General features: G+C 38.5%; 1 long non-coding RNA gene across 5 annotated transcripts in view; it reads right to left on the bottom strand.

Moving 5' to 3' along the window:
• The window catches only part of LINC02756 (long intergenic non-protein coding RNA 2756), a 78165-nt gene that overhangs the window by 23861 nt on the left and 37522 nt on the right, over positions 1-16782 (bottom strand). For 3 of the 5 annotated variants that reach the window (NR_187311.1, NR_187309.1, NR_187312.1), the window contains 4 exons: positions 8922-9015; positions 6940-7041; positions 5858-5934; positions 4018-4223 (listed from right to left, as the gene is read on the bottom strand). This is a non-coding gene — a long non-coding RNA (long intergenic non-protein coding RNA 2756). Of the gene's footprint in view, positions 1-4017; positions 4277-5857; positions 5935-6939; positions 7042-8921; positions 9016-16782 lie in introns of all 5 variants that reach the window. The other 2 variants (NR_187308.1, NR_187310.1) reach the window with 2 other exon arrangements.

Raw genomic sequence — 16782 nt, 5'->3', positions numbered from 1 at the left:
ATGCAGCCATAAAAAAGGATGAGTTCATGTCCTTTGCAGGGACATGGATGAAGCTGGAAACCATTATTCTGAGCTGGAAACCATTATTCTGAGCAAACTATCACAAGGACAGAAAACCAAACACCTATGAGCATGCTCTCACTCATAGGTGGGAATTGAACAATGAGAACACTTGGACACAGGGCAGGGAGCATCACACAGGGGGGCCTGTCATGGGGTGGAGGGATGGGGGAGGGATAGCATTAAGAGAAATACCTAATGTAAATGACGAGTTAATGGGTGCAGCAAACCAACATGGCACATGTATACATACGTAACAAACCTGCATGTTGTGCACATGTACCCTAGAACTTAAAGTATAATAATAATAAGAAGAACACAGCCTATAATAAGTGTTATTGTTGCCATTTTATAGATTCAGAAAATGAAGTCCTTTGCAATTCCAATTAGGTGAGAAAGATCTGTTAGGCTGGGCACCTTTTCTATGCTCCTCAAAGCACTCTATTGGGGCAATACATGTCTCTTAGAATCGTAGATACAACAATTCTAGATTTTCAGAATGAAAGGAATTTTATAGGTAATTTTTTTCATCTACATGGGCAAAGCTGAAATATATGTTCTGGGCCTAGGATGCATTGATACATTTAGCCATTCCTTTATTCGCTCACCATAGTTAAATATGCTCTGCCTGTATTGTCATCCTTCTAGTCTCAGTTTCAATAGTTTTAGTGATAGAGAATTCACTACTTCCTGAAGCAGCCTGTTCTGTTGTATATTTAGGTTGTGATATATGTTATGTTGTGCAAAAATCTATTTTCCTCCAACTTGCAGTCACTGGTCATAATTTTAGCTCATGAGACCATCTCGGACAAGTTTCATCCTTCTTCCACATGACTTTCATTATTTGAAGTACATTTTTTTGGTAAATATCTACCCCCCTCTCCCAAATCTTCTCTTTCTTGTGTATTTATTCTTAGTACTTTATGTGGCCCAGTCTCAGCATCTCAATGAGGTGTCCTCAGGTTGTTCATATCTAGACATACTCAACTTCATCTTCACGAGTCTTTAAATGGAATGCTCAACATTGTATACAGGTCTCCAAGACTGATCTGCTCTGAGAAGGACAGAAAGGAGTTATCCACTACTTCTCCCTTGCCATTTATCAAGACTCCTAAAATTTGCAATTATGTGATTGTGTTAGTGTCTGAATCTTTGGCAAGACAGCAAGAGGGGCAAAGACCATAAGAGTGAAAAGATCATGAAGTAGTTTTGTTTTCAGTAGTATCCCTGGCAGAGTGCCCAGCAGGGGTATGTGTGCAATAAATGTTTATTGAATGAATGCATGACAAACTGACTGAATGAGTACCCTGTTATTAAAATATTAAATGTGAGCATACTGGTTTTTCTAAATAGCATGAAACTAGAAGTAACTTTGGAAACTAGCCCAATTAGTTCAATCTGTAGAAGAGAAAACAAAGACAGGAGAAGTCAATGATTTGCTTAAAGTCACACAGCAGAGCTAAGGCTAGATCTCAGGCTCACTAATACCCATTTCAGAGCTGGTAACTGAAAAGGTAATTCCAAGTGTCGGTATGGAGGTGGTGGTTGTGGCCCTAAGACAGCCATATCATAACCTCTTAAAGCTAGATGTCCTGGACTCTTCTGGGGCCCTGGGCAAAATACAAGAAGTAGCTTTGTAGCCACGCTTCACTTCTAGGTCAGGAGCTAACCCAGTTGGACAGGGCTCCATTCAAGGCAGCTTTGGACTCTGCATAAACTCACTGTTGTGTACTCAGGGCTTTTCCAGGACCCACATAAAGATCAAATATTGATTCAGCATCTCTCCTCTAAGATGTCCTAAGCTGCACTGGGAAAGGACTGACAAATAAGAAACAGCCAAGGATATACCCAGAGAATTATTCCAGGGAAATGAAATGAAGTGTTGGCAGTACAATAAAATAAATTCTGTTTTTGTTCTGCTCAAGCTCACTGAGAGGAAGAAAGTAATCTGAGGCCACTACCATTCTTAGAAAACAAAGCAAAAATGGATGTCAGTTGCTGCTTTCTCCTGTATGTGTTGTTCATAGACGTGTCTGGCCTGATCACAGGAGAATTATGGCTCTCATACCATAAACAGCATTGATCCATATCCTCCCTCTGAGACTATGAGGGAGATTCTGCAACATTATTTTATGGCTTGAAACAACGTATAATATAAGCCCCTAATCAGATGGTAATGGACAGACCTGCTCTGTCACTCTGTGCTATAGCCATGCCAATAACAACACCAATAATGCTTACCACTGTTAAACTCTGTGGCTATGAGTTATTTTATTCATGCCTCACAATAGGTGTTATCCCCATTTTATAGGTGAGGGAATAGAGATTGCCAATTTTGAAACTGGATCTGCCTAATGCTAACCCCAGTGTTCTGGCATAACCCTGTGCTTAGTGCTTGCATAATGAGTTAGGAAAATTAATGTTGATTTAGGTGTGGTTGCCCTTCTGATTCTGGAAAAAAACATTGTAGCCTTTTTGCCTCAAATGTTCTCACAATCCACTCTTCACTTTACCCTGATTCTACTCACCCTCTGGAATTCATGCAGGATTCCATTCCTCTTCCAAGAAGTTCTCTCTGACCTCTCCCACCCATCTGAGTTTGCATAGCCCCTCCTTCATATCTCTAATATTATATTAGTTGTATTAATTATGTTGGCTTAAAATCCTTTTTTCTCCCTCTACTAGACTAGGAGCCCCTTGAGGTCAAAGCCACTAGTGTCTTGTATAAGTAGGTGCTTCATATGGGTATAATATGTTAAATGAAAGGCTATGGAACATGTGATAATTAATAGCACCAAATTTTCTAATCAAAAGGTGTGGGAAGATTGAATTCCTTTAGGGATGAAGGTTTTGTTTGCATTAGTATCCACGGCACAGCATCTGGCATGAGTAAGCATGCAGTAAATGTGAATGTAAGGAACTCAGAAAAATTTTTTATTTTGGTAGGCCAAAATAAAAAATAAAATCAAAATTTAGAGAGGATAAGGTGTATTCAAGGTAGCATGCCATAGCAGAAAAGATTTTGGGTGCTGGAGTGAGAGAGACATGGGTCCAAATCAGTTTTGTCACTGCCTGGCCCTTGATCTAGCAAGTTAACTGTTGTCTCTGAAACTCAGTTTCTTCATCTGAAAACTGGCAACAACAATATTGCTGACTTTATAGGATACTTGTGAGAATTATTTATAATACTCTGTGTCTTGGCATGATGCTGAGCATAAGGTTAGGACTAGCAAATGGAGGCTGTTATTATATAACTGCATAATCTTCTCTTGTCATCAGGTATGTGAAGGCATTGCAATGTACCTTTCTTGAAAAATGCTTCACCATTGAAATACATCCAGAAAATTGTCAATCTGATAGTTAGGTGGAGGTGACTCGGCATCTACAATTCCAAATCAATAGTCTATAAAATGTGGAACTCAGTTTTTTCAGGCACTTGTAAAAATCATCCTTCACATGCACAATCAATCAATCACTTGAACATAAAGCATTTTATAATTTATATTTCATGGTAATTTTTATACTATTTTCTTTCCCTACTGTGAGCTACTTAAAGCAGAAATTGTCTCTAATTTACCTTTTCTTGGACTTTATATGCAGAACAATTCCTGCCATATTGTAGCTACTTTTTATTTTTAGCCCTATCTCAATTGTTCTTAAAAGTGTGTTTTTAGTATAATTATGTTTAATGTATAGCTCTCATAAGAGACTGTGAGAATCAAAGAGAGTTAAGACAGGAAAGAGACCTACCTGGCTATTGGCACTTATTTAATTTTATTACCTTCAGATATTGGGACCTCTGCAGACATAGCATTTTTTGGAACCATGGGACACTGGAGACAAACATACAACTATTCCTTCCATACCTATCACCATTCACACCGTGGGTAAAACTGTTCTAGCGTATGGGTCACATATGTGACTATAGGAAGCCCCACGTGCTGTGCCTTCACTCACCGTTATATCTCAATGTCGACCACAGTGTCTGGTACACAGCTAATGTTCAGTTAATTATTGGGCCTGAATGCCTTCTCTCACCAATATGGTGAAATGAAGACTCATGGGAAAGAATCCCAAAGAGCCTTTATTTTCCAGCTACAGGTAGATGGGTCACTTATCTTCTTCACTGGTGGCTCTCAGAGTTCAGCATGCATAAGGATCATCTGGAAAAGTGGTTAAGGTGTGACTGGAGATTGTAAGGACAGAGGAGACCCACCTGTAGGTGCAGAGAGAAATTCTTGTTTGGCAAGACAGCATGCATGCTATTTTATGGTAACTCAGAGAATACTGCAGAGCCTAGACATGTGTCCAATAGGCTTGTGGGTCACCTGGGGAGGCAACCTCAGGAATCCAGGCATGGGTAAGAACATCAGAGCAGCCTACTAACATGGTTTGGGCCCTAATCATTGGCTTGGGTGCAAAGAAAGGACTTGGGTCTCTGAGAGAGCCATTGACTAGAGCAAAGCAGGACTCCTGCCCTGGAGGCACTGGGTTGCCAAGAAAGGTAATGAAAAACCAGAATTAGCATTTGAGGTAGAGATACATGAGCTGCTGCTTTTTCTTAATGACACAGACACAACTCAAGCATCTCTCCACTGGAGCTTATTTCTGCATCTTGCATTGTACTCATCAGGCTGCATTGCAGTGTTCTGTTTACATTTCTGTCTCGCTCACTAAATTGTGAGCAATATGAGGGCATGGACCATGTATTATCATTATGATTTGTTGTTGTCTTCATGTCTCTAGTACTTAGTTCAGAGCCTGGCACATGATATCTGTTCATTAAATGTTTACTAAATGATGGCATGAGTGAATGGATGGGTGGATTTGTGAATTATTTCTTTTCCTCTCCCTTGCCCAAGTTGGGAGGAAGGTGTTTAAATGCCTGTGGCATGAAAGCAAGGCAGTCCCAGGGGGAGGAGCAGGTCTAAACCTGCATGTGGGAATTAAGTGGTCCCAGCTGTGGGAAAAGGCAAGCCAAAGAGGCTGGGAATAGCAGAGGAAAAGCTTTGACTTTAGTCATTGATACCTAGGTGTGACTGAATCTATCATTTTACTCTTTTTATTATCAGGACACTTTATCAGAATGGTGAGGAGGGTGAAAAGGAGGGAGAAAAAAATTGCATTTATAGTATATTTTATGGAGTTACTTTATGCATATTTTCAAATGTAATCCTCATGAGATTGTTATAAAGTAGGTTTATTATTACTCCTTTAGAGATGCAGAAATAGAATAATTTGCTCAAAGTCAAAGAGCCACTCCAGAGCAGTCTAGAGCCTGAGGAACTTGCTAGTAAGTGCTTACCTTAATTTGGGACCCTGGGGATAAAGGGAGAAAATTATGAATGCATTGGATGCCTGGGAAGAGGGGTCTGGACTCATATTTTACTTCAGTACCCTTGACAAATATAAGAGGACCACCAAGACATGGAAAATCTTTTAGGACAGTTTTCATCAATACCCACAGTGTTTCTCACAGATAATTCTAGTTATTTTCCATGGTTTCTGTGGTTTTATTATATTGATTATTCTAATTATAAGCCATAGGCAAAATAGTATTCATCCAGTTAATTATCAGCATTTTGATTTGGCATCAGGGAGATGAGACTAGTAAAAATACTTTCACATTTCAGCTTTGTTGAGTGACGAGAACTGTGTTAATATTTTCCATGTATTTTCTTAATTTCTCCTCACATGACTTCTAGTAAGTAGACATTATTATCATCTCCAATTGGCAGATGAAGAAAAGAAGGCTTACAAGGTTAATTAACTTAATTCTGTCACTTTCAATTCTGACCTTGGATGATTCTCTCTGATTTCAGCACCCATATTCTTTTCATTGTAGCATCCATGTACCAGGCGTTTGTGTTCCATCTGAGGAGGCAGAGTGTTAATATAGAATTAAATGTGATGACTCATATAAATGCTTTAATAAAATGTACAAAGCTCTGTGGGCCTAATCTATTTTTAGTCAGCAAAGGCAGCAGTGTGGAGGTGATCATCAAATTGGTCCTTAAATGAGAGGTGGTTTTTAAAGAAACTTTTTGGTCTTGTGTATTAAGCCAACTTTACATTTTAAATGAATAAACAAACAGTTGAGATGAAGGAATGTGCTCAGTGAATGCACCTTCCCTTAGCTCCAGTGCTCATCACTTCCCAGGCTTCTTTGGGACTTGCCTTCTTTGCTTTCAACTCTCTACTACTGACTGCTACGCCTGGGTTCATTTTCATGTTAAACTGCTGGTCCATCTGTTCCCAATGAAAAGTACAAATATTCTCATGCAAATCTTGAATATAGACCTGTCACACAGTGAAGGCAAAGCTGTCAAACATCTTCTCTTTTGATGGCCAGAGTACATTTTAGAACTATGTTCAGGTCAGGGCCATGCTATAATCAAGAATATTTCAGGAAATTTCTTGCTGGTACTAGAGGAGATCATGCATAGACCTAAGCAATAAAAGGGCAATCATTATGCATATGGGAGAAACATTCAGCATCTAGAGTAGAATATTCTAATTGACTCTTCAGACAACATCATCTTGATAAGTTTTATTTCCTCTTCCTTTTTATTATATGCTTTTTCTAGTCTCCTTCCAATTTACTAAAATATGTTTTCAAAAACTTATTTTGGGTTGCTTTTATTTTTATTTTTTGTCTAATTATTGTTCCAAGCAGGGTTGCAATTGTCTGTATCCTGGGCTCCTTGAAAGCAGTCTGTTGTGTTAGTGTCAGAGTTTTAGAGCCCTAGAGTCTGATTTGAATTACAGTTTCACGGCTTACCACTGTGCAAACTCTTTAATACTAGTTTCCCCATCTATAAAGTGAGGGATTATAGCACTAATTTAATTAAACTGGTGTGACATCAAATGAAATCATACTTGCAGAGGGCTGAGTTTCATTCCTTGATCTCCAGAAAATATTAACTTTTGTGATGTTTTCCAGCAAGTTCTTGGCACATAGAAGATGCTTGAATGTGTTTGCTAAAAGGTGGAATAAGACACAAATCATGGAGCAAAAGAGTGACTTATTTAAGGACCCACAGTTACTAGTAAGTTTGAACTATAGCTCATTTCTTCCAAGCCAAGGACAGTTCTTTTCCTAGCAGGCAAATCTGTTGTTCTTTTCTTTTTTAAAAAATGTAATTTTCCCACATTTTAATATTTGATAAGCAGTTTATGATCTTTTATTTCCTTCTATTTCTATTTACTTGTGTTCCTAAATACTTCTTATTTCCAAAATAATGGTTTCATAAAAAGCCATAAAATAGAGTATAATAATATTACCCACCACTGAACACATAGTGAAAAACAGTAATCCAAAAACAAAGTCAGAGAGGAAGGGGAATTGTATCTAAAGCTATGGGATGAGCCTAGAGATAGAGATGGAACTCTGGTCTTGACACTGGGTATCCTAGCAGGCAGGCATCTGCACATGTGCGCTGGGGGAAATCCAAGCTATTTCTGTGTTTTAGCTTTTATTGCCTTCTTTCTGATATTCATAGTAAGATACTCTAGCTTTAAGCTCCCTGTGGTCTATGTGGAGCTCCTAGAATTCTAGTAAGGCTTCCCTCCCTGGTATTTCCAAATCCCCTGCTCAAGTTTTAATGCCTAAAAGATCAAATACTAGGCAGTGTTGAGACAGTCCTTCAACAGTGAGGAGGTTTTGGTTAGCAGATGGATGTGAATCTGCATATTTAGTTTTATTCAGAGGAGCTTATGGAGTGAAAATGAAGCTGGAGCATAGCACCATAAGCCTGTGTACCTTCCAGCTGTTCACGCAAAATGTCAAGTTCGAGAGTAGCCTGAGCCTGGTGTTGGAGCCAGACACATCCTTTCGGTAGACTGCAGATGGCCTGTGGTGTAGCCTGTCACATCAGTCACTGCTTGCACATTACAAAATGATGGTCCAACCAAGGACAACTTTATTGCCATACTTTATAACTACACTTTGCCCTCCAGACTTCAACATGATCATCGATAATTAGAAGCTAGCAGGGCGGCATGACAAATTCTGTAATTTGGTTATGTGTCCTGCCAACTGCAAAGTGGATTTCCCCAACTATAAGCCAAAGCCTAGCATGTTCACTGTCATTGCCCAAGAAAGAGTCTCCAGCTACTGTGAGGAAGAACATGCTTTCCCTACTTTACATGACATGATGAGAAAATGCTATACAAGAGACTTATACCCTGCTCTGCAGGAGGTGTGAAGAAATGATTCAGAATCAAAATATTCCCTCCTAATGTTAGAAAGCTGTTCTGACAGAATCTTCACAGGGCCACTGTTTGAAATATTTTGGTGAAACATATTTGCCTCTGTATGCTTCTGAAACAAAACTACTTTTAAAGGCTGAAAAACATCAATCATGTATACATCCTTCTATCCTGTGATCCATCCATGCAAGAAAGATTTACTTTAGTCTATTATTTGCTGAAGAGTTTAGTAGACATCAATAGGCAAACAAAGTTAAAACATCATGGTCCCTAAAGTCAAATAACTTAAAGTAGAAAAATATACAATCTTCAGTTTGGAAGAATAAGTGAAGGTCCTTTGGTCTAGCTATCTTTATAAGAAGCAGTCTGATAGGAAAAATTAGATTTGCAGAAAAATAACTGTCTTAAGAATTTAAAGCATAGTAATGTGTTAAGAGATATAAAAATAGTGTTATGGAGTCTCAAGTTGTGGAAAGACTACTTTGAGCTGGATACTGTCAGGGAAGGCTTCATGCTGAAAGGGACATTTATTTGGTTCTTAAGAAGTGGCCCAGAGGGCTAAATGGTGGTCCCAAAAGATATGTCCATGTGCTAATCCCCAGAACCTATGCATATTACCTTATATATTTAAAGAGTAAATATTACCTTACCTGCCAAAAGATTCTGAGAGAAGAAAAGGTTTTGGGAGAAGGAGTTTATCCTGTATTATCAGGGTAGGCCCTCTTAAATCCAATGACAACGATCCTTATAAAAATAAGACAGAAAAAGATTTTATAGATAGATAGGAAGAGGCATTGTGACCACAGAGGCAGAGATTGGAGAGGTGGGGACATTAGCCAAGGAATGTGGTCAGTCATTAGAACCTGGAGGAGGGCCGGGCATGGTGGCTCACGCTTGTAATCCTGACACTTTGGGAGACTGAGGTGGGCAGATCACCTGAGATCAGGAGTTCAAGACTGGCTTGGCTAACTTGGTGAAACCCCATTTCTACTAAAAATACAAAAAATTAGCTCGACATGGTGGTGGGCACCTGTAATTCCAGCTACTCAAGAGGCTGAGGCAGGAGAATTTCTTGAACCCGGGAGGCGGAGGTTGCAGTGAGCCGAGATCGCTTCATTCCACTCAGATGGGGTGTAGCCCTGCCAATAACTTGGATGTCATAATTCTGGCCTCCAGAGCTATGATAAAATAAATTTCTGTTGTTTTAAGCCACCTAGTTTGTGGTAATTCATTACAGCATTCATGGGAAACTAATACTGATGGGTAGAGTTTTAATACATGCAGTGAAAGAGGAAGGGCAACTAGATGGAGAGAACAATGTGAATAAATGCATGGCGACAGAGCATGTTTAGGATCCAAGAAGTGGTCTGATGTGATTGGACCAATACTAAATGGGTATTTGTTTGGAGTGCAAATAACAAAAATCCTATATTAGTCAACATTTACTGAGCATTGTCTATGTGCCATGCCTTGTGCCGGTTGCTCTTCATGTAGTTTCTCATTTAATCCTCACATCTATCCCATTAGGCAAGTATTTCCTTATCTCAATTTTACAGATAAAGAAACTGTGGCACAGAGAGGTTGAGTAACATGCCCAAGGTTGCAGAGCTAGGAAGTGCTCCAGCTGGGATTCTGACCCTGTCTGTCTGCCTGTGCTCCAAGGCTCTAGGCATCTGTGCTACTTATTTATGAAAGGATATTCTTCCCCTGCTCCCACAGCACATCTGTCGGGCGCTTGTCACAATATAGTATCATTTTATTCCATTTACTTTTTCCTTTACCTGATTATAAGGTCAATGAGAGAAGAGGTTACGTATTTCTCAATTGTTGGTGTTTTTCCAGGCCTAGTACCTGGTGAATTATTGGTATATATTTGCTGAACTGATGGGAATTGTAAAGCTCTATACCAGGACGTGGACCAGAAAAAAATTGCTGTGTAGCTCTTGATTTGAATGTCAAAAATTATTAAGTCCCTCTTCTACCACACCTGTATATCATGAGGATTTTTCCCTCTTATAATGAGGTTATTAGATATGGGTGTGTGTGGTGGGGGTAGGCTGGGTGTGGGGATAGATGCAACCCTAGTCTCCATCAGATAGAGTTGCTCCAGACCAGGCCATGTGAAACCAATGAACATGGCTGGCAGAGTTAAAATTCCATCTCCTGCTGTGTAAATCTCCATAAATTAAGAACCCATTGCAATCATGCTCAAAGATGCTTCTGAGACATTTGGAGGAAACCCAAAACACCATAGGCAGCATAGATGTTTTAGCTCCTGAAGGCTGATCTGTAATAGGATTAAAAATAGAACAGTCTTTTTGCTTCAAAGCCAGGGTTTCCAAGGAGTAGATGTCCAGTTCTTACTACTCCTAGTTAAAACAGAATTACAGTTGTCACCTCCATATGGAATGCAGCTTTTGCTCTGGATGTTAGAGGGTGAAGCCTGTACTGGTAAATACTGGTCTCTGAAAGGGGCTGGGGTCAAAGGAGTGGCAGGGGAGGGCAGGCTCTGCAGAGAGTGTGCCAGCTGTTCCTGATGGCAGAGTCATGTCTGACCACAGAGAGAGCCAGCATGGTAAGAGAGCTGCAAACCACACAATAGGAGAGAAAGTATGGAGAAGTTTGAAGTGAAGCATCTGTGAGAAAAGAAAAAGACAAGAAAGAGCACAAGGTGGAAAGGGACTTAGCATAAGGATTTGCATGGAGGGCTCCAAATTCCTAAAAGAAATGTTTGCATTACAGACTCACCAACCCACTATAATATGTGTACATATGCATACACATGTTTGCATAGTAGAACATAAAGCACGAAAGAGAGTAAAGACAAGAAATTAATCAATTAAGTCAACGGGTCTGACACTGGCTTATCTACTTTCATACCCAGAACCTCCAATGTTTTCCTCTTTTTGAAAGAATTTCAAAATATCTGTCTTTCAAATGTCTGCATTCTCTTATCTACATTTTGTTATTCTTCACTACATCTTGTTTGTGTGTTCTTTCCTACCATTTTTTACTACAGCCTCTCCCTGTGCAGAAATTGTATGCTTCACTGAATGAAGCTCTTTCATGTTCCCAGAAAACAATCCCTATTTTCCTATCTCTGCATCTTCACTCAGAGTCTCCTAAATGTGGATATGAATATGGTATGATGCAAGTGGATATGACATATATCCACCTTAATATCCACCTTAAGGAGACTGTGTGAGCGAAGCTGCAAAAGTAAGATCCTCCCAGAACTGTCCTCCCATCTCCAGTCTTTAAGGCCTAACATAAACTAACATCATTGACTTATTTGTAAAATTTATTTGACCAATGTTTGTTGAAAATGTTTTTTTTTTATGCTACAGAAGACATATACCTTCTATTCAAGTTATTTTTCTATTTGTTGTATTTGCCCTACTGGACCAACAGTGGCAGTTTTAGCTTTGTAAGTCCAGAGTGCTTTGTACACATGCCAGTCCCTGCAGATTTTTAAAGTAAATGATTCCATGGCTAGAGCCTATTTGTGTAGGAATGCTTTGCCAGTTGAAACTAAACTCACAAAGTTTGTGATTAGTTGAAATTTTTACCAGTTTACTTTAACTGGTAAAATTTGCTAAGATTTATGTGCAATATGAGGTTATTACCCAGAAAATCCTTTCTATTTCAAGGTCCTATTGCTAGTTCTCTAGTAAAGCTTCATCTCTCACCTGGCTTACTGCGACCGCTTGCTAGTGGCTTGTTGTCTTTGGTCTGATTACCTTGAATCCATTCTGCAGCCTACCGTCACTGATACTTCTAAAACACAGATCTGATGGTGCCTTCCCCTGCTTAAAGCACACTGAAATCTGCCTTTTGCTCTTTGGATAGTGTACAAAACCTTCACTCAGATGACCCTGCCGGGTATGCTCACTGCTCAACTCTTTAGCCCCTTCATTTTTTCACTAGTCTTCACCTACTTCTGTTCCTTCTGTCTGTTCCCCACCCGAGCACCATGCACCACATTCCTCTGGGTAACTCTTATTTACCCATTAGGTCTCTGAAGCTAGCCTTATCTGACTGTTCCCCTATGCTCTGCCAAGCTCTACGTTTTTGTTGATACAGCATTCTGTAGATTCTCTATTGTAGCATGTATCACACCATTTTTAATTGCCTGCTTATTTTTTACCTAAAACTCATTAAATTTTAGGATTCACAAGGACAATAATTATGTCTGTCTTTTTCACCATTAATGCAAGGGTCTGAGATTGAGATGAAACTGATTGGAGACTTGCTGAATTGAGTATATTGAAGTCTAAGTTTAAGAAAACTAACAGGAAGCTTATTCTATTTTTTAAAAGTCTTGAATAAGAATGACACTTTCTCATTTAATGTCACTAACCTGGCCACCTAAAGAAAATGGAGTGACCCTTCTGGAGTATATTGTATCTTCACCTAATTAACTAAGAGAAAGAGGGAATGCCCTGCCAAAAGGAATGGCTCACCTATTTCCTGGAACTACTCCTAGACCTTAACTGGTTTGCAAAAGCTGGAAGTTATGACCCTTGATAAAATAATAACGTATATTTTTTGAGTGTCTTTGATGTAACAGCCACTTTTAATATACATTTTTCTTATCCTCAGAACTACCGTACAAAGCAGTATTATCATTATTCCTTTATATGAGAAAGCTGAGCTCAGAGGTAAGTAACTCGCCCAAGGACTCCGGTGCTACTAAGCATAGAGTCAGAATTCAAACAGAGATGCTTCTGCTCTTTTGATTTCATCACATTATCTCTCTAAGGGCTTCCTCATACATGCAAACTGAGAATGGGGTAGAGACTGGGAAAATCTGGCTAAGCAAACTCTGAAATTTCTCCTAGTAACAGAATGTTGGAAAAATAAGTCTATTTATTTATATTTTACTTGCTTAAAAATAAATCAGCAATTTCCATTTGTGAGCCTACTGTTTGGGCAAGGATAAGGAATGCATAATTTTTTGAAAAGTTTTAAAGGCAGATGGAAGTCTTCTACTTCAAAATCTGTATTCACCAACACCTACTTAGCAACCAGCTCTGAAACCCGATGAAGGCCCCATTAGGACTGCAGGCAATGCCGCTGCAAACAGCTGCTCATTATGAACCACAGTGCCAAAGCATCATTAAGCGTCCATGATGTATTAAAATAAATCCTTGTCTCTCTGACCCATGATATATTTGGTCATCCAAGAAGACAGCTCCTGAGATACATCTCAACAAGCTGCATGAAAAACCAGAGTTTCAAAATCAAGCTGTTACCAAATGGGAAATTTCCCATTATTCCAAGATATATTATGCTAAATGACCAATCATTTTTATTGATTTTCACTGCTAGTAGTCAGGAAGTCCAGAGTGTATAATCCTCACTGATCTTGTGGTCCTTGGAAATGACAACTAAAGCCAGTAGCTGGCTTAGTGGAAGAGTGAGATGAAGACAGCAAAGCCTCTTCTGTTGCATTATTCATACAACTAAGCCCATCCACTAATGGCCATGAGGAACTCCTATTAACTCTTGGTGCTTAGGAACAAAAGTTGAGGATCAAAGTCTTAGCAAAAGTACAAGTATGAGGTTGTGTGAAAATGTCAGTAATTTTTAGATATTTTATTCCCATAGTTTGAGGCTTTAAATTCTGAGTTTGAAAAAGATAGGCTGATGCCCATGGCAATTTGTTTTCTCCTGCTCTACAGGAATATATACATTTCACCTTAAAATATCTGTGTTTTGGGTAAATGAGTGACTAAACTACTCAGCCAATTTAGGGAAACTTTGAAAAACTTATGAATCAATTCTTTCAACTTTCAATAAAGCATTCATATGGTTCATATATTTCTAAATTGTGGAAAACAATATAATTAAAGCTTCTTTCCCATTCTGTCACTGATCTTCCAAATTTCCCCACTGTTACGGAGAGAGCCACTGTTTTTAGTTTCTTATGTATTCTTGAATTGCTTAATGCATATACAGCACATAAAAGATCTTTTCGGACTCTTACTCATAAAATGTAGCATACTACACATGGTGTTCTGTATCTAGATCTTTTTCTTTTTAACTTAAGTTCTTGGAAATCATTCTATGCCTGAACTAGTAGGGCTAAACCTACAGTGGCCTCGCAGGCTGTGAAGATTAAGAGGATAATAGGTATTATGGATAATAGTATGGAGAGCTTCCTCCTTCTTTTTCATAGCTGTATAATATTTCATTATAGGGATATACTGTAATTAATTGAACCAGTGCCAATTGATGGATAATGTGACTCATTCCAATTTCTTACATTGTGAATTATGCTGCAAACTTGTACATGTATGTGTGGAATATATGTTGAATATATTTGCACAAGTAAAATTGCTAGGTCAAAAAGCACATTTATTTGTAGTTCTGATAGATATTATCAAATTGCCCTTCATAGGCATTTTCCCAAGAATGTTCTCACAAGCGGTGTGTGAGGGTTCTTATTTTCATCAGCATCTTCAGAAGTATTTTATGAAAACGTTTCCATATTCTTGACATTTTGATAGGTGAAAATTAGATCTCAATGTAATTTTTGTCTGTTTTTTATTATGAGTGAGGAGTAGCATTTTATTACTTAAAGGTCATTTGTATTTCCTTTTCTGTAAACTAAGTTTTCATATAGTTTGCTGTTTTGTATAAGCTGTTAGTCTTTTTTTCTTACAAGTTTTTAAGAGCTCCGTATATATCAGCAGTGTTAGCTGTTTGTAATGTCATGAAAGTTACCCACATTTTGTCCAGCCTGCCTGCCTCTTTCTTTTTTCCTTCCTCCTTCCCACCTTCCTTTTCTCCCCTTCCTCCGTCCCTCCTCCTCTCCCTTCTTCCAAACCCCAGGTCTTGAAGATTTTCTCTTGTGTTTTTTTCTAAAAGTTGCATGGTTTTCTTTTACAGGTAGAATAATTATTTATTTTTAGCCTTTATAAAATGTGTGAGGTTTAGGTCAAGTTCAAGGTCCATTTTTTACATATATCCAATTATTCCAATACTATTTATTGAAAAGATTATCCTTTCTCAACTGAATACTTTTGCCCCTCTGTTAAGGTTCAAACAGCCACATTTGTATGGGTATATTTCTGGACACTATATTTTCTTCCATTATTCTGTGTCTCTTTGCTAATGCTAAAGCTTTATTGACTGTTTTGATTTGATTGCTATAACTTTATAGTAAGTCTTAAAATTTAGTAGTATTATTTCTCCAATTTTGTGTTCCTTTTTCAGAATAGCTATTCTATTTCTTCACTGCTCCTTATAAACGTAGCTCCCCTGTACCATGTGTTACAGCTGTATTAATCTAATATTTGTCTTCAGGTAATTTCTTATTTTCTTATGCCTCTAGACCTTTTCTCTTGCCTACTTAGATTGCCCTTTCCTGCCATTTGCTATCAAAGTCCCATCTATGTTTCAAGATACAGATGAAATCTTATGAAGTCTTTCACCCTATGTGTGCTCCAAATATACAGCATTAGATGACATGAATCATGATGTGGTGCAGAATGGATAAGAGGACCTGAGAACCCACTGTTCTCCTGGACTTTCTCCCTGGCCTTTGGAAGCTGAATGGAGCTTTGTCTTTGCTAAACTCCAGCCAGTTTCCTCTCACAAATCCATTACTATTAAGATGAATGGATAGATGGGAATGACTCCACTGGTGTGTTTCAATTTCTGAGGGCAACAAATATTCAGAATTGACAATGGAGGTGAAAAGTGGCATTTTAGAACAATATATTATTTTAAAGTGTGTGTGCTGTCCAGGCAAAAGACAGTTTACCCCTGGAAGATCTGGCATGTTCACAGTCCCATTCAGACTTTTTGAATTACCCCATGGTGAAGGTCAACATCAGACTTTTGTTCTTTTTACCAAGAATGAGGAAGAGACAGATGGGGTTCGATTTGCTTCTCTCACCAATCAAAAAGACCAAGAGAGGGAATTAGCATATCCTCAGTGTTCACTTATTAATAACTTTTGTTATTAAGGTCTTTCATGTACTACAATTATTACATAATTATCATTGCATTCTGGTCTTACAACCAACCTTCATAACCAAGTTAAGTGTTGCTATCTGCATTTTCTAAGTGAGGAAACTAAATTTAGAAGACTTGACTAAGATTAGCCAGTTAGTAAGAATGGGGCTTCTGTGCACATAGGGCCACTAACAAGTACATGTTCATATGTGCTCGCACCCCCGTACCTACACACAAACACCACAGATCAAATAAGAAGCGTAAGTGGAAAGCATACAATCTATGGAACGTGTAAGAGGGATACTATGTGGTGACATCATTGGACTCTGAGCATACACTGTGAGTTGTGAAGAGTTCTTTCATGTTTATGTAATATCTTTAAGTTATTTAATGACTAAACTACTATTTGAGTTAATTTTGCTCAGTTTATTTGTAAACCACTTTTGCTTCTTTCATCAATTGTCATGCCATGTCCTTAAAGGCCATTTGGAACCAACATGGAAATTGTAGGTCCGTCCAGTAGAGAAGCTGGTGGAGAAGAATGTG

The sequence above is a fragment of the Homo sapiens genome, chromosome 11 (genome assembly GCF_000001405.40).
Source record: "Homo sapiens chromosome 11, GRCh38.p14 Primary Assembly".
NCBI classification, from domain to species: domain Eukaryota; kingdom Metazoa; phylum Chordata; class Mammalia; order Primates; family Hominidae; genus Homo; species Homo sapiens.
Note: the sequence above shows the minus strand (reverse complement) of the source record. Positions and strands in the feature narration are given on the sequence as shown.